At 46.0% G+C, this 24941-nt stretch overlaps 1 protein-coding gene, 1 long non-coding RNA gene and 1 pseudogene across 18 annotated transcripts in view, besides 1 other annotated feature; 1 reads left to right on the plus strand and 2 right to left on the minus strand.

Annotated features, from left to right (window-relative positions):
* Window positions 1-1376, plus strand: part of DGUOK (deoxyguanosine kinase) — a 32067-nt gene extending 30691 nt beyond the window's left edge. For 15 of the 16 annotated variants that reach the window (NR_134897.2, NR_134894.2, NR_134898.2 and 12 more), the window contains 2 exons: window positions 576-675; window positions 1140-1376. Coding sequence is in view for 10 of the 16 variants with exons in the window: in NM_001318861.2 (NP_001305790.1) it covers window positions 576-675; window positions 1140-1166 (127 nt within the window). In the remaining 6 variants the exon portion in view is untranslated. Of the gene's footprint in view, window positions 1-575; window positions 677-1139 lie in introns of those variants that run through there. The other variant, XM_047443585.1, reaches the window with a different exon arrangement.
* DGUOK-AS1 (DGUOK antisense RNA 1) lies at window positions 397-23869 on the minus strand. Of its 2 annotated transcripts, none has more exons than NR_104030.1 (2): window positions 23565-23869; window positions 397-637 (listed from the first exon to the last, which is right to left on the minus strand). It is a non-coding gene; the product is annotated as a DGUOK antisense RNA 1 (long non-coding RNA). The 2 variants fall into 2 exon arrangements; NR_104029.1 differs by having other exon boundaries at window positions 23539-23869.
* On the minus strand, window positions 10553-10636 carry RNA5SP97 (RNA, 5S ribosomal pseudogene 97; annotated as a pseudogene).
* Window positions 13472-13641: an enhancer, noted in NCBI's record as "active region_16037". NCBI's record gives its function as "activates an Ori minimal core promoter by ATAC-STARR-seq in GM12878 lymphoblastoid cells {active_cell/tissue: GM12878}" and the evidence as "EXISTENCE:reporter gene assay evidence [ECO:0000049][PMID:35858748]".
* Window positions 23870-24941: the final 1072 nt, after the last annotated feature.

Genomic DNA, 24941 nt, shown 5'->3' on the forward strand with positions numbered 1-24941 from the left:
GGCTGAGGCAGGAGAATCGCTTGAACCTGGGAGGCAAAGATTGCGGTGAGCCGAGATCGCACCACTGTACTCCAGCCTGGGCGACAGAGTGAGATGCCCAGAAGAAGTTTAATATTGAATATAATCTTTACATTCCAAGGGCCTTTTTATTAGATTGTATTTCTCCAGCTTTTTCTTTGTTTCTTAACATTTCCCTAGACTGAACATTGTGATTGATGGTGATAGTTGGCTCAGCATGAAGGGCTGAAAATGTTAGAGAAATTGTCAGTATTACTAAGTTGGCATTCCTGGTTTCTGCCTGTCCTCCCTTTAGGCTTGGTTTGTTGTCCACTTAAAATGTTTGGTGCTCTGACTGTTTGTTAGTATCACTCTCAAGAATGAAGAGAAACCTCAACCTTTCTGTTTCCGGCCAACTTTATTGAATTTGTTTTTTTAAATGCAGTTTACATGCAGTTTCTTTGAAAAGTCATGTTGAATTTAGATCTGTTCTCTGAGTAAGACTTGGCGAGTATGTGAAACTTGACTCAAGTTACATTTCTTTTTTTCTGTCCCCCAAACGTTCACGCTTCTTATAGGCTCCACTTTGAGGCTCTGATGAACATTCCAGTGCTGGTGTTGGATGTCAATGATGATTTTTCTGAGGAAGTAACCAAACAAGAAGACCTCATGAGAGAGGTGGGAAGGACTTTAACTCCTGTTTTCTGGTGGTTTCCTTTGTTGTACTTTTATCTTTCTGGCCTTTGCTTCAAAGTTCAATATCATGGGTCTTGTGCTTTGCATCTCACATTGCATTTCACACTCCAAGGCCTATGGAATCTTGTGCAGATTACAAATATCCCTATTCTCTAAAGTATGCTGGACTAATAATTGTTAAATAATTGACTTGTAACATGTGCTTGCCAGCTGACTTTCTTCTCTAAGGCATCCTAAAACTAGGGAAATGAGACTACTGGATTCTATTCCCAGCTCTGCCACTTGATGCTATATGACCCTGGGCTGCCCACATTTCTTCTCCATGCCTATTATTTTCCTTTCCTCACAAAAACCTCATGGGCTTGGCTGCATATGCATTGGGGGTGGACCATTGAAAATTCTGTTAAAAATGTGAAATTAAACTTCTGATTTTCTCCTTCCCACAGGTAAACACCTTTGTAAAGAATCTGTAACCAATACCATGAAGTTCAGGCTGTGATCTGGGCTCCCTGACTTTCTGAAGCTAGAAAAATGTTGTGTCTCCCAACCACCTTTCCATCCCCAGCCCCTCTCATCCCTGGAGCACTCTGCCGCTCAAGAGCTGGTTTGTTAATTATTGTTAGACTTTGCCATTGTTTTCTTTTGTACCTGAAGCATTTTGAAAATAAAGTTTACTTAAGTTATGCTTGTTTTTCTAATTCAGTTGCTCATTTATTTCAGCATGTATCTCTTGGTGCTTGCTCTAAATTCACCTCTAGACTAGTGTATTAGTCCGTTTTCACACTGCTATAAAGATACTACCTGAGGCTGGGTAATTTCTAAAGGAAAGAGGTTTAATCGATTCACAGTTTCGCATGGTGGGGGAGGCCTCAGGAAACTTACAATCATGGCAGAGGGGAAACAGGCACATCTCACATGGTGGCAGGTGAATGAGCGAGTGCAAGAAAGAGCAGGGAAACCTGCCTTATAAAACCATTAGATCTTTTGAGAGCTCACTGCCATGAGAACAGCATGGGGGACCTGTCCCGGTGATACAGTCGCCTCCCACCAAGTCTCTCCCTTGACACCTGGGGATTACAATTCAAGATGAGATTTGGCTGGGGACACAAAGCCTAACCATATCAACTAGCAATTTTCAAATTGCTCCCAGAACTCTAACCCAAGCCCTACCTGCCATGCATGAAGAAGGGAAATAAAGTGGCTCAAGAGTGGGTGGGATCTTAAATGTGAGCCCCCCAGAGCAGGAAATGGAGCATGAACTCCAGGAAGCTTCTTTATCTCTTCCCATCTGCCACTCTTGACATAGGGGACAGGTGTGGGGAACTTAAACCCTTGTCCTAGAGCTAAAGAACCTGGCCAAAAGAAAAAGGTAGAAAACAGCAAGAACCCAAAAGTTAAGCATCTGACATTTAAGATTGGCCCGCCCGGCACTCTATCTTTGTCTAAATACCTTACCCAATGACTTCCAGATAACGTTAATGGAGTGGATCTCTCTGTGCAGGAAAAAAAAAAAAAAAATTTTTTGTTGTGCTCTTTACCCTTCAAATAGAATTTATTGTTAAGGGAAGAAAAATACATGGCTCTATAGGATTGAAGTGCTCCATTGCCAGAAGCCTGCAGGTCCATGATTCACAGGAGCAGATCTGCACTGAACCCTTGACGGTTCTGCAGGTACACAGGAAGATGAATGATCTGGGGACGTAAGAGTGCCCCAGAAGACAGAAATCTGTGTTTCTGTCCTTTATGCTTTGGGGAAATGAATGTGAGATTGGTTTCTAACAAATACATAGGCCAGGCAAGGTGGCTTACACCTGTAATGCCAGCACTTTGGGAGACCAAGGCAGGTGGATCACCTGAGGTCAGCAGTTCAAGACCAGTCTGGGCAACATGGCAAAACCCCATCTCTACCAAAAATACAAAATTTATCCGGGCGTGGTGGTGTATGCCTGTAATCCCAGCTACTTGAGAGGCTGAGGCAGGAAAATCGCTTGAACCCAGGAGGCGGAGGTTGCAGTGAGCTGAGATCACACCACTGCACTCTAGCCTGGGCGACAAGAACGAAACTCTGTCTCAAAAAAAAAAAAAAAAAGTAATGTTTTAATATAAAAGTATGGCAATTTCCTTATCCTACTTATTTAAAACATTTTAATAGCTTTATTGATACATAATTCACATATTATACAATTCACTCATCTAAACTGTACGATTCAGGCCACACACAGTGGCTCACACCTGTAATCCCAGAGATTTGAGAGGCCAAAGTAAGAGAATTGCTTGAGGCCAGGAGTTTGAGACCAGCCTAGGTAACATAACGAGAGGCCAGCTCTCCAAAAAAGTAAAAATTAAAAAAATAAGCCAGGTGTGGTGGAGTGAGCCTGTAGTCCTAGCTACTTGGGAGGCTGAGGTGGGAGGATCGCTTGAACCCAGGAGGCTGCAGTGAGCTATGATCCTGCCACTGCACTTGTAGGTGACAGAGCGAGACTCTATCTCTTAAAAATAAAGTGTACAGGCCAGGCGTGGTGGCTCACGCCTGTAATCCCAGCATTTTGGGAGGCTGAGGCAGGTGGATCAACTGAGGTCAGGAGTTTGAGACCAGCCTGGCCAACATGGTGAAACCCCGTCTCCAATAAAAATACAAAAAATTAGCCGGGTGTGGTGGTGTGTGCCTGTAATCCTAGCTACTCAGGAGGCAGAGCAGGAGGATCGCTTGAACCCAGGAGGCAGAGGTTGCAGTGAGCCAAGATCGCACCACTGCACTCCAGCCTGGGCAACAAGAGCAAAACTCCATCTCAATAAATAAATAAATAAAAACAAAAAATAAAGTATACAATTCAATAGTTTGTAGTATAGTAGTCATGGGGCTGTATAACCAATACCACAATTCCAGAACATTTTCATCACCCCAAAAAGAAAGCCCATACCCCATCTCCCCCAAGTTTCCCTGCTGCCAACTCCCAGCCCTAGGCAACAACCAGTCTACTTTTGTCTCTGTAGATTTGCCTATTCCTGCAATTTCATATGAATAGAATCATACTATGTTGTCTCCTGTAACTTTTTTTTTTAACTGAGCATAATGTTTTCAAAGTTCATCCAAGTGGTAACATGTATCAGTACTTCGTTCCTTTCTTCCCCCACAACAGTCTCACTGTGTTGCCCAGGCTGGAGTGCAGTGGTGCAGTCACAGCTCACTGCGGCCTTGAACTCCTGGGCTCAAGCCATCCTCCTACTTCAGCCTCCTGAGTAGTTGAGACTATAGGTGCACACCACCGCGCCCACTAATTATTTTATTTTTAGTAGAGACTGTCTCACTATGTTGCCCAGGCTGGTCTCCAACTTCTGGTGTCAAGTGATTCTCCTGCCTCAGCCTTCCAAAGTGCTAGGATTACAGATGTAAGCCACTACACTCTTCACCTAGTTTTAAAGCCTGAAAGTCTACAAATTCAGCATCTCTATTGGTAAATATTGCCTTTTAGAAAGTAAACGTTGGCTGGGCACTGTGGCTCAAGCCTGTAATCCCAGCACCTAGGGAGGCCGAGGCGGGCGGATAACTTGAAGTCAGGAGTTCGAGACCAGCCTGGCCAACAAGGTGAAACCCCATCTCTACTAAAAATCAGAAATTAGCTGAGCATGGTAGTGCAGGCCTATAGTCCCAGCTACTCGGGAGGCTGAGGCAGAAGAATTGCTTGAACTGGGAGGCAGAGGCTGCAGTGAGCCGAGATTGCACCACTGCCCCCTAGCCTGGGTGACAGAGCGAGATTCTGTCTCAAAAAAAAAAAAAGTAAATATCCTCTAGGATAGTGCGGGCCATCAACAGTGTAACCTAGGTGATATTTGTCATTTTCCAAATTTGTAGCCGAGATCATCTGTAGAGAGTAAACATATTAATGAGCAGCAGTAATTTTGAATCTTAAATTGTGGGGGAGGGACAAGTAGGTCTGGGTGGAGCCTGTAAGTGTGCAGATTAGGACCACAGGAAGGCAGGCTGAAACCTTGGGCACCGTGGGTTTTTAAAGTGGACGCTAGAGAGTGGAGGTCACACTAAAACGGTCCCTACTCTACACTCAGGCCAGTCTGGATGGCTGTTATTCTTGGTTTAGGCCAACTCCCAGCGTCAAAAAATTTGGATTAACACATAAGAAATAGCTGCATTTCTTTCTGGCTTACGATGTGGTAAAACCTGCTGTTCTGGAACCTGAATATTACCTTGATGGGTTTATAACAAGGATCAAGGTTGTGAAAGTTCTCAAACTCTCAGAAGGTGATAATTTCAAGTAAAAGAGATTGTTTGTTATATGCAAATACCAGAATCACAGAGGAAGTGATGCAACGAAATAACATGCACTTTAAAATTTTAATACTATTTAACCTTCTTCAGCCCTCACTTAAATAGCAGTTTACATTTTCTGAACCACTTTCTCCTTCATGGGTCTCTCCTGGCTCCCCTACATTTGATGCCTCCCCTTCTGCTTCCTGGGCTGCCATCTTTTTCTCTTTTCCTCGAAAGTGTTGGTGTCCCCAAGGTACCCTTGGCTCATTTCTGTCTTCGTCCACTCCCTCTGCGTGATCTTGGATTTGTTTTCTATCACTGCCATTATCAAATTACCACAAATGTAACAGCTTAAAGCAGCATACATTTATTATCTTACAGCTCTGGAGGTCAGAACTCTGACATGGGTCTCACTGGGACAAAATCAAGTTATCAACAGGGCTGCTTTTCTTTCTGGAGTTTCTAGAGGAGACTCCGTTTCTTTACCTTTTCTGTCTTCTAGAAGCTGCCCACATTCCTTGGCTTGTGGCCCCTTCATCTTCAAAGCCAGTAGTGTTGCATCTCTAACCACAGCCAGGAATCCTTCTCTGCTTTCAAGGACCCACGTGATTACACTGGCCCCCTCTGGGAAATCTAAGCTGCGGGGTGGGAGGGAGGCTGCTATTCTGCTTTCCGCAGATCTCAAACACTATCATGGCTCCTACTATTCTCATGGGGTGAAGACTTCTTATGAACTTGGAAATTTTATGGAAAATGTGAATCATATGCAAGAGGGAATGGTATCAAGCACCCCTGTACCCCCATACCCACATTCTAGCCCAATCAGCCTAAGATCACCAGAAACGAACCTTGAGTTTGAGAAGGTCAGATTGCAATGAGGAAGACCACATACCAGAGGAACTGTGGGGCATCTCACCAAACAGGAAAATATACCGTTACAGGATTTTAAGGAAAACTAGAGTTTTGGTAAAATTGAATGAAGCATTGTTTGGATAGGTGCAAAGCAAAGCAGGACTGTGTATAAAGGAGTCTGTTCTGAACTGTTCGGTGAACTCAGGTTTGTTTCCCTAGAAAGTACAAAGTTAAGACAAACATGGAATTTGTGTTCAGAAGCTCCTTACGTGAAACTCTGAACCTGGCTTGGAAACCAAGACAACTTCTCTGTGTCAAAGTGACTTAGAATCTTCTGGCCAAAAAAAAAAAAAAAAGGAATTTTTACTGATAACATTTAACATTTCACACAGCAAAGTTTTTACTGATAACATTTAACATTTCACACAGCAAAGTTTCTGATAGTTCATGATTTTAAAGAACAAGGTTTCTCTATGAGTCAGAAAGCAGTAGTCACACAAGGAAAGGGGTCATTATGACACTTTACGGCTACAACGTGCTCGTGGGAGAAATACTGTTTCATGGTAACTTTTGTGACTGGCTTTAGCTGTGTAATGTCCTCCCAGCCTGTTGAGTCGCAGGGCAGCTTTTTACCTTCTTAGCATGAGCCAACTTCGACTTTCTCGCCAACTTCGACTTTCTCGCCAACTTCGACTTTCTCACCCACTTCGGTTATCTACTCAGAACCAATCTGGTTTCACCTACAGCCTACCCCCACTCTCATTATTCTGAAGCAAATCCCAAACAGGAGGATGTCTTTTAAAGCTAGAGCTATATCAAACTATGGATTTCACAACCCGGATCCCTTATGCTCAATGGGTACAAAACAGTTCTCCCCACCCGCATACCCACCACCAACCCTACCCCAACCCAGCCAGCAAAGCCATTTCCCCTGCTTCTCCATTCACCCCGTTGGCCACATTAAAAACCTTGGTGTTATCTTTGACCCCCCACTTACACTCATTCTCAACAAATTCTGCCTATTCATCTCTGAAATCTTTCAAATCTTCTCTGCACCTGTTTCTGTCTCTCTAGTTGAAGGTGTAGTGGAAATTGTGGTTGACTCCCCAGCATTCATCCCACCTCTCCTCCTCTTCCATAGCAGTCATATGGTCCCCATTGTAGCAGTGGCCATGCCTAGGAATGGCAGGAATGGCCCCTCCCCTGCCCCCCAATTACTACTACCAGTAATCATTTCTTCCCCAAGCCACATCAACTAAATGATGTATAAAAAAGAACAGTGGTTGCTAGGTCAGGTCACCTGCCCCACCCCTGCCACCAGAGAGCTGCCCCTCAGCCTCTCCTATGTGGAGGTATGAGAGCTACCATGTTTTTATAACCCTATCTCCCATCACTCCTACCATAAACCCCACGAGACCACCCATAGCTTCAGATGTGTTTTCCCACATGACAAAATGTTTCTCTCTCTCTCTTTCTCTCCCACCCCCCACCCACCACCCCAAGCTTTTACACTGGAAGAACTACTCACCCTGCCAGGCCCAAGCCCACCATTCCTCTCTCTGTGGAGCCCTTCCCTCACCCCACACCATGTCCAGTCTTTGTGCCCTTGAGCACCCTGTTTATTAAACTTCTGTCAAACGTGTCATACCTGAATGAAAGTTGTCTGGAGACATCTCTTTGATGTCCTTGGCCTTGACCTTCTTGACATAGACCATGTCTTGGTCATTTAGTACAATGCCTGGCATTTATTTATTTATTGCTGTTTCATGAGTGCCTAACATAGACTTTTAAATAAAGAAATTATTGACTGGAGACACGCTCCGCCCTTTCTCAGGTTCCTGGGTTATTTGTGAGCTCTATATTACGATCATCAATTGAGGAAGTCCCTTCTGTGTACTAAGCACTGAGAATATGCAAGAAATTTGGGGCCTGGACTCTACTCTTAAATTGTCAAAGGAGTTGATGATTATCAGATGCCTACTGTGTGCCAGCTACCCTACTGAACACTTTCTAAATGTTATTCAACCCTCTCAATAATCCTGTGAAGGAGGTTTAAGGTGCCAGTTTTTACCAGTGAGGAAACTGAAGCTCAGAGTTCAGTAACTCAACGAGAGTCCCACAGTAACTGACAGCGCTGGGACTCACACCTAGGTCCATCCTGACTCCAGAGCCTGTTCTCTGCATAACACCAAACCATTACATAAGGGAGATAAGACTAGATTTTCAGAAAAGAAGGCAAGCAAGCATTTCCTTGGCTGCCTGTCTGGATTTACCAGCCAAATTTTGTAGCCTGGGCAGGAAAACCTAGTTTGCCAGCACTGCTAGGTGGAGGCCACCAGGTGCATCTTAGCTGTGCCTTTGGCCCCTGGGTCCCTGAACAGGTGGAGAGATGTTTCTGGGGGGCTAGATTTTCTCTTCTCAGCAACTGCACCTTCATAAAGTGCCCTTCAGGCACTAGCCATTAGAATGTATGTGGAAGCTTGGTGAAGGTTCTGGAGTGTCTTTACAGATGCCTTCTACTCCACTTCCCAGCTCACCCTTTATGTTGCTATCAGATGATTTTCTTAAAACACCTTTATTTTTTTTAAATTTATTTTTATTTTTATTTTTTGAGACAGCGTTGCTCTGTCGCCCAGGCCAGAGTGCAGTGGCATGATCTCAGCTCGCTGCAACCTCCGCCCCCTGGGTTCAAGTGATTCTCCTGCCTCAGCCTCCCACGTAGCTGGGACTGCAGGTGCACACTACCATGCCTGGCTAATTTTTTTTTTTTTTTTTTTTTTGGTATTTTTAGTAAACACCACCATGTTGGCTAGGCTGGTCTCAAATTCCTGACCTCAAGTGATCCACGCACTTCAGCCTCCCAAAGTGCTGGGACTGCAGGTGTGAGCCACCACACCCAGCCTAAAAACCTTTAATCATGTTAATATTCTTCTTTAAAAATGTTGGTGGCCGGGCGTGGTGGCTCACACCTGTAATCCCAGCACTTTGGGGGGCTGAGGTGGGCAGATCATGAGATCTGGAGTTCGAGACCAGTCTGCATAGAGAAACCCCATCTCTACTAAAAATACAAAATTAGCTGGGTGTGGTGGCGCATGCCTGTAATCCCAGCTGCTTGGGAGGCTGAGGCAGGAGAATCATTTGAACTCAGGAGGCGGAGGTTGTGGTGAGCAAAGATGGTGCCATTGCACTCCAGCCTGGGCAACAAAAGCGAAACTCCAACTCAAAAAAAAAAAAAAAAAGTTGGTATCCAAATGCACAGTGGTATCCTGAATTGGATCCTGGAACAGATCAAGTTCGTTAGTGGAAAATACTAGTGAAATCCAAATCAAGTCTGGAGTTTAATTGATGTAACTTGTCAGTTTTCACAAGTGTACCATGTCATGTGAGATGTTAGCATTAGGGGAATCTGGATGAGGGATACACAGAAACTCTGTGTTGTCTTTGCAATTTTTCTGTAAATCTAAAATTATTCCAAAATAAAAATCATTAAAACAATGTTGATACCTCTTAGAAGATGATGACCAGGCTCCTTAAGTGGGCTTTTGGAGCCCTCCAGCCTTATCTTTCCCCACCCCTGTGAAAGAATCCTCTGTTCTTGCTAAATGGTTTCACTTACTGTCCTCTTAACAATGTCTGTGCTCTCCTAGACTCCACTTTTGCCTTAGCCATGTACCCTGTTGGACTGATATGCCACTAGTCACAGTCCTTAATCGCAAACAGCAGGAAGTTACTGTGAACCTAAGGAAGCTTAGGTTTTAGGGTGCATCACTTGCAAGTCCCCAGGAGGGTCCACTATGGCTGTTATGAGAATGTGATTTCCCTGTCATTACTACTGCTGTCACAGAATACTCCTCATGGACCCAAGACTCTGGTAGGTACATCTGACTTGCAGAACCTAGACCACATGCCCTTGACATGCCAAGTACGTGCAAGGGAGTCTGAGAAATACAGTATCTGACATCACATCTTCGTTGTGAGAGGTGGGGTCTATCCCCAACCAAGGTGAATAAGTCCTCAGACACAGGAAGGGGAATGATTTACTAGTTCTCCAAAAAGAATGGCAGATGTTTACTACAGATGGGTTTTCTAGAACCAAATCTTCCATTAGGAACCACTGGGCTTAGGTAACATTTGTTACCTAAGCTGAAACTCCAGCTTGGTTTGGCCTGGAGACTCCATGGTACAAACTGTGTTCCTATATTTCATTCACTACACCAGAGTGAAGGGAACTTCATCTCCTGAGGACACTTGAATTAAAATCTTTCAAATGAAAAGGGCCCAGCCGTGCATGGTGGCTCACACCTGTAATCTCTTGGCACTTTCAGAGGCCAAGGCAGGTGGATCATTTAAGGTCAGGAGTTCGAGACCAGCCTGACCAACATGGTGAAACCCTGTCTCTGCTAAAAATACAAAAACAATTAGCTGGGCGTGGTTGCATGCACCTGTAATCCCAGCTACTTGGGAGTCTGAGGCAGAAGAATCGCTTGAACCTGGGAGGTGGAGGTTGCAGTGAGCTGAGATCTTGCTACTGCACTCTAGGCTGGGCTACAAGAGCAAAACTCTGTCAAAAAAAAAAAAAAAAAAAAAAGGAAGGAAGGAAGGAAAGAAAAGGGCCCATGTGCATGTCTTTAAGATCAGCTATGCAAAAGGCAACATAGGAAAGGTTATATCCTACTGTGAAGCTGGGAGTATTCCCCAAGGCAAGAAAGGTTTCTGGGAGAAGACCCTGTATTATTCTCTTATCCAATACTAACCAGGCCCGACCCTGCTTAACTTCCAAGATCAGATGAGATCAGGTGCATTCAGGGTGGCATGACAGTAGATCCTGTATTCTCTATATCAGCAGTGACCCCATCATCCTTCCAGCCACCCAGCTAGAAAACTAGGATCCTCTGACTCCTCTCTGTCACTCATCTCCAGCAGCCAGGCAAATGTCTGGTGCTACCAATTTCCCGCTAACATTTCTCAGATCTGCCTGCTCTCCTACCTCCACTCCTAACCCAGCCCTCCCACCCAGGCTCTCTGCCTCTTGCTATGGCCTCCCCAAATCCCTACTCCACAGAGGAGCCAGAGGGCCTTGAACGCCACCAGGTGCCTCCAGAATGTGCCTTTGGCCCCCCGGGGGCCCTGAGCAAGCACACATCCTTCCAAACCCTCCTCTGCTTGTGTTTACATTAAACTCATGGTTGCCCTACCCCCCCACACACACACACTCTCATTGCTTTTGCTCATGCTGTGCGCTCTCCCTGGAGTGCCCTTCACCTCTAAGCCCCTCGGCATCCCCAATTGCCATCTTCAGGAAGCTTCTGCTGACTCTACCCTGGCTGTGTCAGGCACCTCCCTTCGAGCTCCTGTCAAATGCCTTTTGCATTTATCTGTTTTTCTTACACATAGTATTAAAATCATCTCTCTCTGTCTTTTTTTTTTTTTTTTTTTTTTTTTTGAGACGGCATCTCACTCATCGCCCAGGCTGGAGTGGTGAAGTGGTGTGATCTCGACTTAGTACAACCTCCACCCCCTGGGTTCAAGTGATTCTTCTGCCTTAGCTTCCAGAGTAGCTGGGATTACAGGTGCCCGCCACCATGCCCGCCTAATTTTTGTATTTTTAGTAGAGATGGGGTTTTGCCATGTTGGCCAGGCTGGTCTCAAACTCCTGACCTCAGGTGATCCACTCGCCTCAGCCTCCCAAAGTGCTAGGATTACAGGTGTGAGCCACCATGCCTGGTCTAAAATCATCTCTTTGTCTCTTTATTAGAGCATGGCTTATGTCTTATCCCACTTTGTATCTCCAGTGCCTGGCACATGGGAGTGGGTAATTCAATAGATACTGGACAAATGGAAAGCAGGAAGAAAGAAGAAAAAGGGACGCAGGCTGAGCCTGAGAAAGACCCCTTGCACTAAGCAATGAAACACCTCCCACACCCTTACCCCTCCATGCTGCGAGCAACATACTTGCTAACATACTTAGCTACGTACTCGCTAAGACCCAGGCCAGCTGCAGGTGGGCTCTGAGCAGCCTCTCTGACTCTGGACTAGATTACGTGACTGTAAGATCCTTAGAACGGATGGTAGAAATAGATGATGATGATGAGCCCTTTGATTCTGCCCTCAGAGCCACCCCCTCCCCCATGATCCTGGAGGCCACTTTGAATCATGAAGTGCCTCATAAAGAGAGAATTGCAAAAGACAGAAGAAGCCTCAGGCCCTGACTTCACAGAACTGCAACTTTAGCCCTGGACTCTCTCCTCAGACTTCTACATGAGAAAGCTGTAAACTACTTTTGTTTTGTTTTTTTTGAGACAGAACCTTGCTCTGTCACCGAGGCTGGAGTGCAGTGGTGCAATCTCAGCTCACTGCAACCTACACCTCCTGGTTTCAAGCTATTCTACTGCCTCAGCCTCCCGAGTAGCTGGGATTACAGGCATGTGCCACCACCATGCCTGGCCAGAAAGCTATAAACTTTGAAGCCACTGTTTAGGATTTTATCATTGTATACAATTGTGCTAATATATCCTGTGGCTCTGAGCTTGTTGCAACATTCTCTCTTGCCTAATTTGGGGCCCTGCTTGCAGTGCAGGTGTGTGCCCCATGGCTTACGACTGGGGACCCCGGACAAACGTTACCTGGTACTGGACAGCCTCTGCAGTGATAGATAGTTCCCTGGCCACCAGCGCTGGCACATGGGAGGAATCAGAGAAGGGGATTGGGAGAAACTGTATCACCCTGGGCAAGTCACTGAACATCTCTATATTTTAGGTCCCTTGCTTTGAAAGCAAGGAAGACCATCTTTAAGGTCCTGACAGTCTCCTGCTTAAAATATCCACCTTATGAATGAATAAGCAGCATGGAGTACATGGAGGACTTGGGTTTAGACATCACACAAATCTGGTTCCAAATCCTGGCTGGGCCACTCACCAGCAGCGCAACTTGGACAACTTGCCTCTCTGAGCTTCTGTTTTCCTTAAATCTGAAAATGAAACTAATTTTGCAACTATTTTTCAAGTGGTACCAAGAATTAGAAATATTGTAGACAAACTTCTGGGCAGAGTAGCCACTCAGTAAATGGAACTGGTAGGTGCATGTGAGTGGAGAGAAAGAAAGAGCTGGTGAGTGCTTCACAAAGTACAGCTGAGCTGAGCCTTGAAGGGTGAGGTGAGGACCATTCGGGCAGGTAGGGTGGGAAGGACGGTCCAAGCAGGGGAGCAGCATGGGCAAAGGAAGGAACACACAGGATGTGATGGTGAAGGGTGGGGTGCGTCGAGGTCCTTGTGGGATCAGACCTCATGCCCCTAAGCGTGATACCACTGTGGACCAAAATGAGTGCTGCTTCCAGCTAAGGAGCTTCCTGGATTACATGGCATTCTAGCTGGGCATTAAGTGAAGTAGGATTTTTAGAGCAAGACTGGGTTGAGGGTGATTTGGAGTAAACACCATAAGCAAAGGCAGGGAGCTAAGAAAAGAGCCTGTGAGGGGGTGGGGTTGGGCAGGGAGACCGCAAGGCTAGAGTAGAGGGCAATAGCAGGCAAGAAATGCTCAAATGTTTTAAATAGAGTGCTTGGCAAAGACAAGCCAGGCCAGCCAAGCCTCCATTGCTCACACTGTTGTCTTATCTGTTTCTTTCAGCATTTCTACGTAGGCTGTATCTTTGAGGCCAGAGCCCAAATGCCCGGGTCTGGAAGGAGTCTCTGAGGTCCCTTGGGAGACCCAGCAAAGGGGACCGGTGTGGGACTTCTGCTCAGAAGGTGGAGGGCTGGGAGAGCAGGCAGGCATTCACTCTGCTTCCTTCCTGCCTGGTGGCTGGCTGCATGCCCTGAACTTGACCTCAGATGACCTGCGTGTTCCCTTCAGTTTCAGTGCCAGCAGCAGTGAGCTTCATCTTTGGCTTTTTTTCTCCTTCAGAGCAGAGACTTTCTCTCTGCTCAAACTGGGTTTTTTTTGTGGTGGTGGTGGTTGTTGTTGGCTTTTTTTTTTTTGAGATGGAGTCTCGCTTTCTCACCCAGGCTGGAGTGCAGTGGTGCGATCTCAGCTCACTGCAATCTCCTCCTCCCAGGTTCAAGTGATTCTCCCACCTCAGCCTCCAGAGTAGCTGGGATTACAGGCATGCGCCACAACACCCGGCTAATTTTGTAGTTTTAGTAGAGACAGGGTTTCACCACGTCGGTCAGGCTGGTCTCATACTCCTGACCTTAAGCAATCCACCCGCCTCGGCCTCCCAAAGTGCTGGGATTACAGGTGTGAGCCACGGAGCCCGGCCTCAAACTGGTTTTTGCAGCACCAAAAATCTCCCCAGTACTTGGGCAGACCTTGCCGGTGGGGTGTCTACTGTTGTCTGCCTTTTTTCAGTTTAGAATGATGATTTTAATGGTGCTAGATCATTGTATAGGTACGTAAATAAAGACTAAGGGTGTGTTTGTACAGATGGGAGTGTGTAAGACACGTTTTTCCCAAGCAGACACAGCTAGTTAGCAGCAGAGCTGGAATAGCCCGGGTGTCCTGACACTCAAGCCAGTGCTTGCTGCCCTGCCTATGAGCTGCTTAACTCTGTACACCTCAAATGTCAGCATCTTGAAATCATTGTGTGAAAAAGTGAGTTGGGTTTCAGGCATTGTCCTTGTTAACCCACCACATGCTCAGATGTTCTGTGGTTTGGGTTGGCATGCAAAATAATTCCAAAAATGCCTGGATTTGTCCAATGTCACTGATTAGTGCTTGCTTTAGAAGACTAAGTCCAGCATTAGCCTCAGTAAGGTACAAGGAACTACCACAGTTTCTCCTTGATCAAATGCATAAGGTATAGATGTAGAATACTTATAAAGGAAAGGGACTGACTTCTAATCAACATACAGGCTAAAAATTATTATTGCCAAATAGGCTGGCGTTGCTCAAAAACCTCTTCGGAGTTGCCTTTGGAGCCAGTTTATGGGTCCCAGTAGAGCCAGGCTCTGTTCATCATTCAACAAGAACACACTGAGTGTCTGTATGTCAGGCACAGAGTACAGTGAGTAGCAAGACAGATACACATGTACCTTACAAGTGACCTTTCTACTTAAAAAATAAAATGTCTTACCTAGGTTAGACTACCACCTTAATCACCAGGTTTGGTTCTGAAAGATATTTTTGGCTGCTTTCTAAAATTAAGCTCTTCTTCAGAGGATGGAGAATAAATTCACTGATTGAAAATACTCAGAAAAAAGAGATGTAGCTTAGATAAAGGCAATCTCAAACGAGGAATTCCCAAGACATTTTAAGCTATGGTAATACAACCTCACAAGGAAACAATTTAGATAAGAATATTTATTTGGAAGTAGACATTCTGGTGTGTTTGTTAAAAGTGCAAAGGCACATTGTCAGGAGAACAAGGTTTTGACTCCTGGAGACCAGCCACTTTTCAAAGCAGGAACGACCAAATGATCTGAACCAACCCAGATCTATTGGCTGCTGTCCCCTGCTCATGAGCCCTCTGGCTAGGACTGCCCCAGGCATCCACGTTTGAGAGCACCTGCCTAAAAGATCTGCAAATCAAATCAAATTATAGGATGGACAGTTTTGAAACAAACCTGCTTATTTGCATCTGCCCCAGTGTTGTCAAGGATATTCCACTGATCAAAAGTCATTGCTATAGTCTGAATTTCCAGGTTCTAACAAGAGTACATTTGTATATGCTTTCTATTTCACACACTACTTCCTCATTTATCCTCTCCTCGAAGCCACAACTCTTGTGGTAGACATTAAATATTCTCATTTTACAGATAGACACACAAAGATTCACTTAAATTATGTGCCTAAAGGACCACTTACTAGGCTTGAAACCAGGTCTTGCCGTTCCTCCTGCAGCAGCTCCTCCAACAGGCCACAGGATCCTAAACTCCAAAACTCCTGATCACTCCTGCAAGCAGTTGTTCCCAGCCTGGCTTCACATTGGAGTCCCCACGCCTCGGGGCATGACCTGACATTGCCAAAGACCCCATGGGGTGGGCACCAGGTCCATACGACCAGAATCTCTGGAAGTGGGGCCTTGGCATTGGTATTCCTCAAGTTCTCCAAGTGATTCCTCTGTGAAAAGTCTTGGTCATTCTATTAGAGAATTATCAGAATTTGCTTCCTTCTCTCTCAAAGACCTACTTAAAGGCATTGATGGTCCACTTGTCTTCTTTTTCAAACATAATTCTCTATTTTTCAATGATAGGAATGCTACTACCTCTTTGTTGTAGAAATTTTAGGGAAAACAGGTATTAAGAAAAAAACAAAAATAATCCAGAGACCCAATGTTTATATTTTGATATATTTGCTTCCAATCCTCGTGTATATTTTATGTAATTTTTTTGAGACAGTATTTTGCTCTGTCACCCAGGCTGGAATGCAATGGCACAATCATGGCTCACTGTAGCCTCAATTTCCTGAGCTCAAAAAATCCTCTCATCTCAGCCTCCAGAGCAGCTGGGACCACAGGCACACCCACCATGTCCAGCTAATTTTTTTTTCTTTTTCTTTTTCTTTTTTTTTTCTTGTAGAGATGGGGTCTCCCTATGTCACCCAGACTGGTCTCAAACTCCTGGGCTTGAGTGATCCTCATGCCTTGACCTCCCAAAGTGTGGCAATTACAGGTGTGAGCCATGGACCTGGCCTTAATCATTCTTTAATGTGAACATTTAAGTTTATTTTAATTTAATTTTTTTTGCTGTTATAAGTCCTCCAAGAAGATCCTTGTACTTAGATCCTTATAGTCTTTGCAAAACTGAGTATTTCTATTTTGTGATCTGCCAGTTTGCTATAGTTATTAATTAATAAAGTTTTTATTTTATTTTATTTTATTTTTCAGATGGAATCTTGCTCTGTGGCCCAGGCTGGAGTGCAGTGGCACAATCTTGGCTCACTGCAACCTCCACCTCTCAGGCTCAGGCAGTTCTCCAGCCTCAGCCTCCCGAGTAACTGGAATTACAGGGGAACACCACCATGCCTGGCTAATTTTTGTATTTTTCTTTAGTAGAGACAGGGTTTCGTTTAACCATGTTGGCCAGGCTGGTCGCGAATTCCTGACCTCAGGTGATCTGCCCACGTCGGCCTCCCAAAGTTCTGGGATTACAGGCTTGAGCCACCATGCCGGGCCTGGACATTTTATGTCTTTATTGGCCATTTGCATTCCTTCTTTTGTGAATGTTCACATCCTTTGCCTTTTTGTTCCCTTTTGAGTGTCCATCTTTTCTTACCTACTAAGTATATAACACCTTTCCTGTTCATTTGTTTTGTAAATATTTTTCCTCAGTTTATCATTTAATTTGGTTTGTTGACATACAAAAGGATTTATTGATTTTATGCTTAGAAATGTTCCTTGATGAGGTAAATTGTTACCAACATTTTCTTCTACAAGTCTCAATAAATAAATGCCTGGTTATATAGAAGCAGTTTATCTGGCTACATGGGATTTTATTGTTCCGGACTAAGAAACTGTCCATCTCCTGGCCGGGCGCAGTGGCTCACGCCTGTAATCCCAGCACTTTGGGAGGCCGAGGAGGGTGGATCACGAGGTCAGGAGATCGAGACCATCCTGGCTAACACGGTGAAACCCCGTCTCTGCTAAAAATACAAAAGAATTAGCCGGATGTGGTGGCGGGCGCCTGTAGTCCCAACTACTCAGGAGGCTGAGGCAGGAGAATGGCGTGAACCCAGAAGGCGGAGCTTGCAGTGAGCCGAGACTGCGCCACTGCCCTCCAGCCTGGGCAACAGAGCGAGACTCCGTCTCAAAAAAAATAAAGAAAAAGAAAAAAGAAACTGTCCATCTCCTACAGGAATCTGACTTGGAATTATCAAAACTACACTGCTTTTATGGTGTATGTTCCTTGAACTACCTTGCCCAATACAGCATAACGTAAAAAACATTTTGCAGGGCAAAACATTTTACAAAGCAAACAATATGGCATAGCCTCTCACAAAAGACTGCCCCACCCCAAAACTAACAAAGCCCACTTCCATCCTGTTTTGAAAAATAGGGTGGGTCTTAGGATAGTACCACTGGGCTCTCTCAGCCCTAGGGAGAAACTTTCCTTCAGCTCAAGTTTCTCCTGGTCAAGTGCTTCGGGGACAGGCTCTGCTCTTGAGGAGGGTTACTCTGGCATGTAATATTTGGGACATATGTATACTAAAAAATTATTTGTTGTTTATCTGACACTCAAATTCAACTGGAAGTCCTGTGTTTCCATTTGCTAAATCTGACAACCCTAATCCTGTGGTTTTTCTCTCAGTCTTAATGTTGGTGCCCTTGCCCCAGGAGTGCCCACAGGAAGCAGCAGACCTGGCAACATGCTGCATAAAGGAATTTACCTGTTTACCTTCAAAGAGGGTTCTCATGGCCAAGGGGCAGCCTCTCCCTTGTGCCCCTGAGACATTAAAAAACAAAAACAAAACAACAACAACAACAAAAACACTGCATTTACCTTTTCTACACAGATCAGCCATGTGCTTATAAACCTAAGCTCTTCACCCAGACTTCATGGGTTGCTTCCAGGCTTCCTGCACTTCATTGTCCTTCTTCCTCTTTTTTTCTAGCAGCCATGAAGCTGCTCATGGGTCTATGGATCTGAGTGGCCACCATCACCTCGCTCACATGCCTTTGGTCCGCTGCATGCTCCTGTCCGAGTGGCCAATCTGTCAGTTCCCCTTTGGCCTCTTTCAGCTTTTAACACCCTATTTTCTATCTTACAGGTTTTTTTTTTTGTTGTTGTTGTTTTGTTTTTTTTGAGACAGAGTCTTGTTCTGTCGCCCAGGCTAGAGTACACTGGTGTTATCTGGGCTCATTGCAACTTCTGCCTCCCGGGTTCAAGCGATTCTTGTGCCTCAGTCTCCCGAGTAGCTGGGACTACAGGCACGTACCACCATGCCCAGCTAATTTTTGGCATTTTTAGTAGAGACAGGGTTTCATCATGTTGGCCAGGATGGTCTCAACCTTCTGACCTCAAGCGATCTGCCCGCCTCGGCATCCCAAAGTGCTGGGATTACAGGTGTGAGCCACCGCGCCTGGCCTATCTTACAGATTTTTGATTCACTATAAATAGATTGTTTTCTAGAGGCTGGATGTTAAAATTCAATTTTAACATGGTTTGAGATGGCTGGGTGTCATGTCGATGTCCTAAAGAATGGCAAGAAGACCGAGACATCTGCTAATCACATCCCTCCCTGGTTTAGCAGATAAATAGTACAATGTTGAGAATACAGCGTATCTCCCCAGAATGATGCTGGTGTTAACACCATATGACTCGATCTATTAGTGCAGGCATTTCCAAGAAGGCCTCTCCCAGCTCTACGAGGGATGCCTGTGTCCTTTTTATCTCTATCCTAACTAACTCTACCTTCTGAGGGATTTTAAAGCAGAGCTTCTTAATTATTAGGGTGCCTAGGAATCACCTGAAAGTCTTGTCAAAATGCAGATTCTGGCCAGGTGCAGTGGCTCATGCCTATAATCCCAACAGTTGGGGAGGCTGATGTGGGAGGATGGTTTGAGGCCAGGAGTTTGAGACTGGTCTGGGCAACATAGTGAGACAAAAAAATTAAAAATTAGTCCAGGGTGGGTAGCACACAGTTGTAGCCCTAGCTACTGAGGAGGCTGAGGCAGGAGGATCAGTTGAGCCCAGGAGTTGAAGCCTGCAGTGAACTATGATCAGGCCACTGCATTCCAGCCTGGGCAACAGAGTAAGACCCTGTCTCTTGAGGAAAAAAACAAAAAACAAAAAAAGTCTGATTCAGTAGCTCTGAGGCCTGCTGAGATAGTGCACTTCCAGAAACTCTCAGTGGTACCGCTGCTGCAAGCCCACAGACCAACCACACTTTGAGTAGCAGGAGTTTGAAACTTATATTCCTGACTGGCTACAGGATGGCCCAGACACTTCGTCATCTCAATTCCAGGACCCTGCCTGCCCACGCCCAGGAGGTCTGAATCAACGGCAACGAAATCTGTGTCTGTGAGAGGGGAGACTACAGAGTGAGGGGAAACTACAGAGTGAGGGGAAGGGAGGCAGGCTGAAAAGGGGAGAGCAGGAAGCCTGAGAAAGGGCACCAGTTCAGGACAGTTTAGTCTGGAGCTGGTAGGACCTAGTGTTGATTGAATATGCAGGGAAAGAGAGAACAAGGGAGGCACTTGGCAAACTGTCTCCACCTGGGGAGGCTGGCTAGGGGCTCCTACTTAATATCAAATCTTATCCTGGGCACCTGAATGCCATTATATCTGATGACCCTCTGTAATACATAATGTCTGCATTGATTATTGTATATAGTTTAACTCTGGTTGTCATGGTTACCTATGGCTAGACTAGGGTAAGACCATTTCTCTGATAAGTGGGAGGAAGAATCAGGGGACTCAATGGAAATGAAAGTATAGGACAGTTTGAGTGCCTACTGTCCACCAAGGTCTGAGGCGGGACTTTGGCATAGGTTGGCTTCATTCGATCCTCTGCAAAGGAGTCTGCTTAGGAGGTATCATGAGTCCCATCTTTAGAGATTGGAAGGAGGCCAGGAGGGGGGAGTTACCTCACCTGCAGCCAAAAACTGGTACACACAGGAGCTGAAAATGGAACTCGAGGAACCAGCGGGAGCATCTCAGTGCATGGGGAAGGGGGAAGATATCGTGGGGGATAGGGGAGCACTACATCCAAGTGGGAAGAACAGGGTCTCTGAGGATGGGTGCCCCAGCACTGTCAAGTACCTACAAATGGGACTCAATCCTCACCCACAAAAGGCCATGAGGAAGGGAAGCCTCGAAGGTGAAAGGGGTTGATATCATCTTCAAGTCTCAAATGGGACAAGCAGGCTCCTACTTAGCAGGAGATGGGACAGAAACAACACATGGAAACAAGATCAGGGGACAAGCCAATTGAAGTTGAACCAATCTTTCAGGGATGCTCTGCTCTTTCTATAAAGCACTGTTCTGAATGGATTCCTATGATGTGTAGTTCAGGAATTTCACCACTTTTATACTATATGTATTTTCTGTGTTTCCCGCTCCCCCAACACACATACTTTTTTTTTTTTTTTTTTTTTTGAGACAGGGTCTCACTCCATTGCCCAGGCTGGAGTGCAATGGCACAATTTTGGCTCACTGAAGCCTCAACCTCCCGGGCTCAAGTGATCCTCTCACCTCAAAGTGTGCACCACTGCACCTGGCTAATTTTTTTGTAAAGTTGAGGTCTCACTATATTGCCCAAGCTGGTTTTGAACTCCTGAGCTCAAGTGATTCGACTGCCTTGGCCTCTCAAAGTGCTGGGATTACAGGCGTGAGCCACCAGGCCCGGCTTGATATTTTTTTAAACAAGAAAATACTAACCTTGATTCGATGTTAGAGTTTAACCAAGAGGCAGCTCATAGGACCTGGTTTCCACCGCCCCCCTCCCCCCCCCCGGAATCTCAGGCTGTGACAGGGGCTGCTCCTGGGTCTCTCTGTGGGCGCTGTCAAAATGGACCTCAAATGGGATGTGTTCTTGCTGACCTCATTGATCAACTTCCACCTTCTCTGGGCCCCCTGGCACTACCAACTACCCTGTTGTTCTTCCAGAAACCTCCCTTCCTATGCCCTCGTCCTGTGGGTTTGACTTCGTAAATCTTTCTTGATACCTCTCTCCCTCCCCACCACCACTACCCTAATGGAGACCATCATTTTTGTTTTCTCACTTAGGTTTCTGCAACAGCCTTCTAGCTGCTCTCTCTGCCTCTATTCTGACACCCTCCTCTAATGTATTCTCTATATAGCAGCTGGCACTGAGTAAGATGTGGTCCTGTCCACAGCTGAGGGGATGGGACAGACCCAGGCATACCTGTGATCTGATTGGTGGGCCCCTTACCCAATCTTGAGAGATCATCAAAGGCTTCCTGAAGCGTCACCTGAGTTTAACCAGGAAGGATGAGTGGGAGTTAATGGCAAGGCGGCAGGAAACGCCTCTGCTAAAGCTACGCTGTTTTAGAAGTTTCCTTTAGTAGGCAGGCTCCTTGTGTCATACACCCTGAGTACCTTCCTTTCCTGGATTTCTTTCTCTATTTACAAACGAATTTCTACTGAGTTTGTCCCACAGCCACTCACCTCTTCTACTATGTTTCCTTCAACTCTTATTTTTTTTCGCTTTAGTTTAAATCTCTGAACCTGCTCTAGTGCAAGGTAAGACAGTCCTTTACACTAGGAATCTCTAATATGTGTCGCCAGGAGGGAGGAATGCTCTGGAAATGGGCAGTATGTGTAATTGCACATACCTCAAATATACACATATACATTCACACACTCACACACACTCCCTGTGTGTTAGTGCTGTTAACCAAATACTTCTGCTTATCCTTCCTGCACATAGCAGGATTGTACTTATTGCACTTCCCTGCCCCCTTGTAACTTTCTTTGGCCAGTGAGATGACAGCAGGAGTGATGTGTGTCACTTCCAGGGAAAAGCTTTAAGAGCCAGTGCTAGATTTGCCCCATTCTTGTTTCCTGCCTTCAGGGTTGAGGAGATGCATGTCCAGTTGCAGCAGCCTGGATGCCCGAGTGATTACGGGAAACAGAGCTCCTAATGACTCATAATGGACACGTTTTGTGATTGAGAAATACACTTTTGTTATGTAAAGCCACTGTGATTTGGGGATTGTCTATTACTCCAGCACAATCTAACTGATCCTGACTGATACACCCTGTCAACCAAGGCTCAGGGGCACCAAGGCCTTTATCCCTGTTGGGTATTCCTTCCATTATGATGGGTACCCTTGCATTCTCCTTGCAAGTAATGAAGCCTATTTGATTCAAAAAATTCAAAATGCAGTCACAAAACTAGTTATAAAACATGAGGACATTTGCGGGGCTATTGAAAAACGTAGTAGCCGGGCGCGGTGGCTCACTCATGTAATCCCAGCAGTTTGGGAGGTCGAGGTGGGTGGATCATGAGGTCAGGAGTTCAAGACCAGTCTCTACTAAAACTACAAAAATTAGCTGGGCGCGGTGGCAGGTGCCTGTAATCCCAGCTACTCGAGAGTCTGAGGCAGGAGAATCATTTGAACCTGGGCAGCAGAGGTTACAGTGAGCCCAGATCGCGCCACTGCACTTCAGCCTGGGTGACAAGAGTGAGACTCCATCTCAAAGAAAAAAAAAAAACCAAAACCCAAAACCAAAACAAAACAAAAAACCCAAAAACGCATAGCATAGATATCCTACACGTGTCACACTCACCAATGCAGGTCCACAAGCAACCCACTAATGAACCTCCCTTTCCCTGAGAGCAAAATGCCAGCTTCTGCCTGGTATCAGCTCTAGCATTCGTGGGCTAATTTCAGAGGTCCTGGATTGTAGGTCCTGGATTCTGACATGTAGTAGTGAATGACCTTGGACAAATTACCTCACTGAGCGCCAGTTCTCTTATCTGTAAAATGGTGATGATAATAAAAACTATGTCATAGATAAGGAAAGTTAACATTTGCACATTTGTTGTATTTGCCACTCTGTGCAGACAGAAGGATAATGTGTGTGGAAGTGCTTTGAAAAGGGAAAGATCTATGCAAATATTAGTTGATAATATTTTTAGCCAATACATGACCAAAGAAGTAATACATCCAAAATCAAATAAACCTCCCAATACCTTCAGTCTTTAAAACCAAGCCCAGGTATGGATATCGGGATGTATTTACATTTCTGCAAAAGGTCCCCATACGCAAATCTCATTCTTAAATAAGGACAAATTACTCATTAGCTGAAGAGGAGAGAGGTCAAGTACCTGAGGAGGTTAGTCACATCAATCACCTGAGAGTTCAGCAGCATCCAACAGTGTTAGTTCCACGTGTTAACTTCCTGAAGAACCACAGGCTTGCACATCCAATTATGCTTCCTGTCCCTTTCCTCCCCCGTGCGGAATCAACTTCAGCTCATCAATGGGGTAGGAAAGCCTCCTTATTTCGCACCCTCCATGCTCCAGGCATCCAGGGAAATGCCCCTGCCACCCCTATCTCCCTTGAGTTCTTAGGGCTTCCTCCTCTAGCAAGGAGATTTCCCTTTCTAGTCCCGGGGGCAGCGGCACAGCCCGGCTCTGACCTCGCGGGAGCAGTCGCCTAAAAGAGGCTCCGCCCTTGGCCGCTTGGGGTGGCGCCCGCCAAACCCGCTCCTAAAAGGAGCCTCTCTCCCTCTGTCTGCTCTAAGCGCCTTGGGGGCCTAATCGCAGTCTCCACCTGGGTGCTGAACTTCCTTCTCCCCCGCTTGCTGTAGTCCAGTGCTGCTCTAACTTGACTTCACCTGACGGACTAATTAAAACAGATTGCTGGGCCCGCCCCCAGGGTTTCTGATTCAGTGGGGTTAGGATGGGGCCGAGAGCTTGCATTTCTAGCCAGTTCCCAGGAGATGGTGATGCTGCTGGTGCCGGGGCTCTCTTGGCGGAACCACTGCGTCTAGGCTAATGCAGCCCCAGGAAGGGCTCGCCCTATCCCTACGCCCACCCCCGCTGCTCTCCTGCCCTGAGCGCAATGTGAATGGGAATAGCCGCAGCAGCCCAGGAGGCTGGAGAACCAGAAGGCAGGACCTGAGGAGTTTAGGCTGTTTTATCTTGGGCGCCCCTGACCAGTTTGTGCAAGTCGTAAAGAAAGCAGGAAAGAAGCCTATGGGTCTTCAGTGTTACTGGGGTCTGTCATTCATTAGGGTCTACTCACCTCGTCTCTTCATTCAACACAGTGGTTGGTTGCTAGGTCTAGGGTTATGAGGTGAAAGACAGCGTGCTACCCTTCCAGGAGTTTGTAGTAACTGGGAAAGAAACATGCAAACCATTCCAGTGCCCAGCGCCGATGAGATAACTGTTCCTAGGCAGGGAGAGTCAAACTTCTGTGGAGGGAGAGTGGGTGGGGCTCTGGAATCATCTGAGCAGCTGGAGGTTTCATGGAACTGGCACTTATGACTTGCAGGATGAGTGGGAATTTGGCAGGTACAAGGGGTAGCTGAGAAGGGGTGGGGTGGGAAGGGTTTTTCCCCAGGCAGAAGGAATGAGCAACAGGACTGCCGAAGTGTAAGGTTCCAGAGGCCGGGAAGATATGACAGGCAGCTCTCTAGCCTGGCTGGGTTCCCTCCAACCTCTCTGGCGGCGCCTTCTCAGCTCCTGTCCCTCATGGGCTGGTATTCCCTGGGGCTCTGTCCTGG

This window comes from Homo sapiens, chromosome 2 (assembly GCF_000001405.40).
Source record: "Homo sapiens chromosome 2, GRCh38.p14 Primary Assembly".
Lineage (NCBI taxonomy): Eukaryota > Metazoa > Chordata > Mammalia > Primates > Hominidae > Homo > Homo sapiens.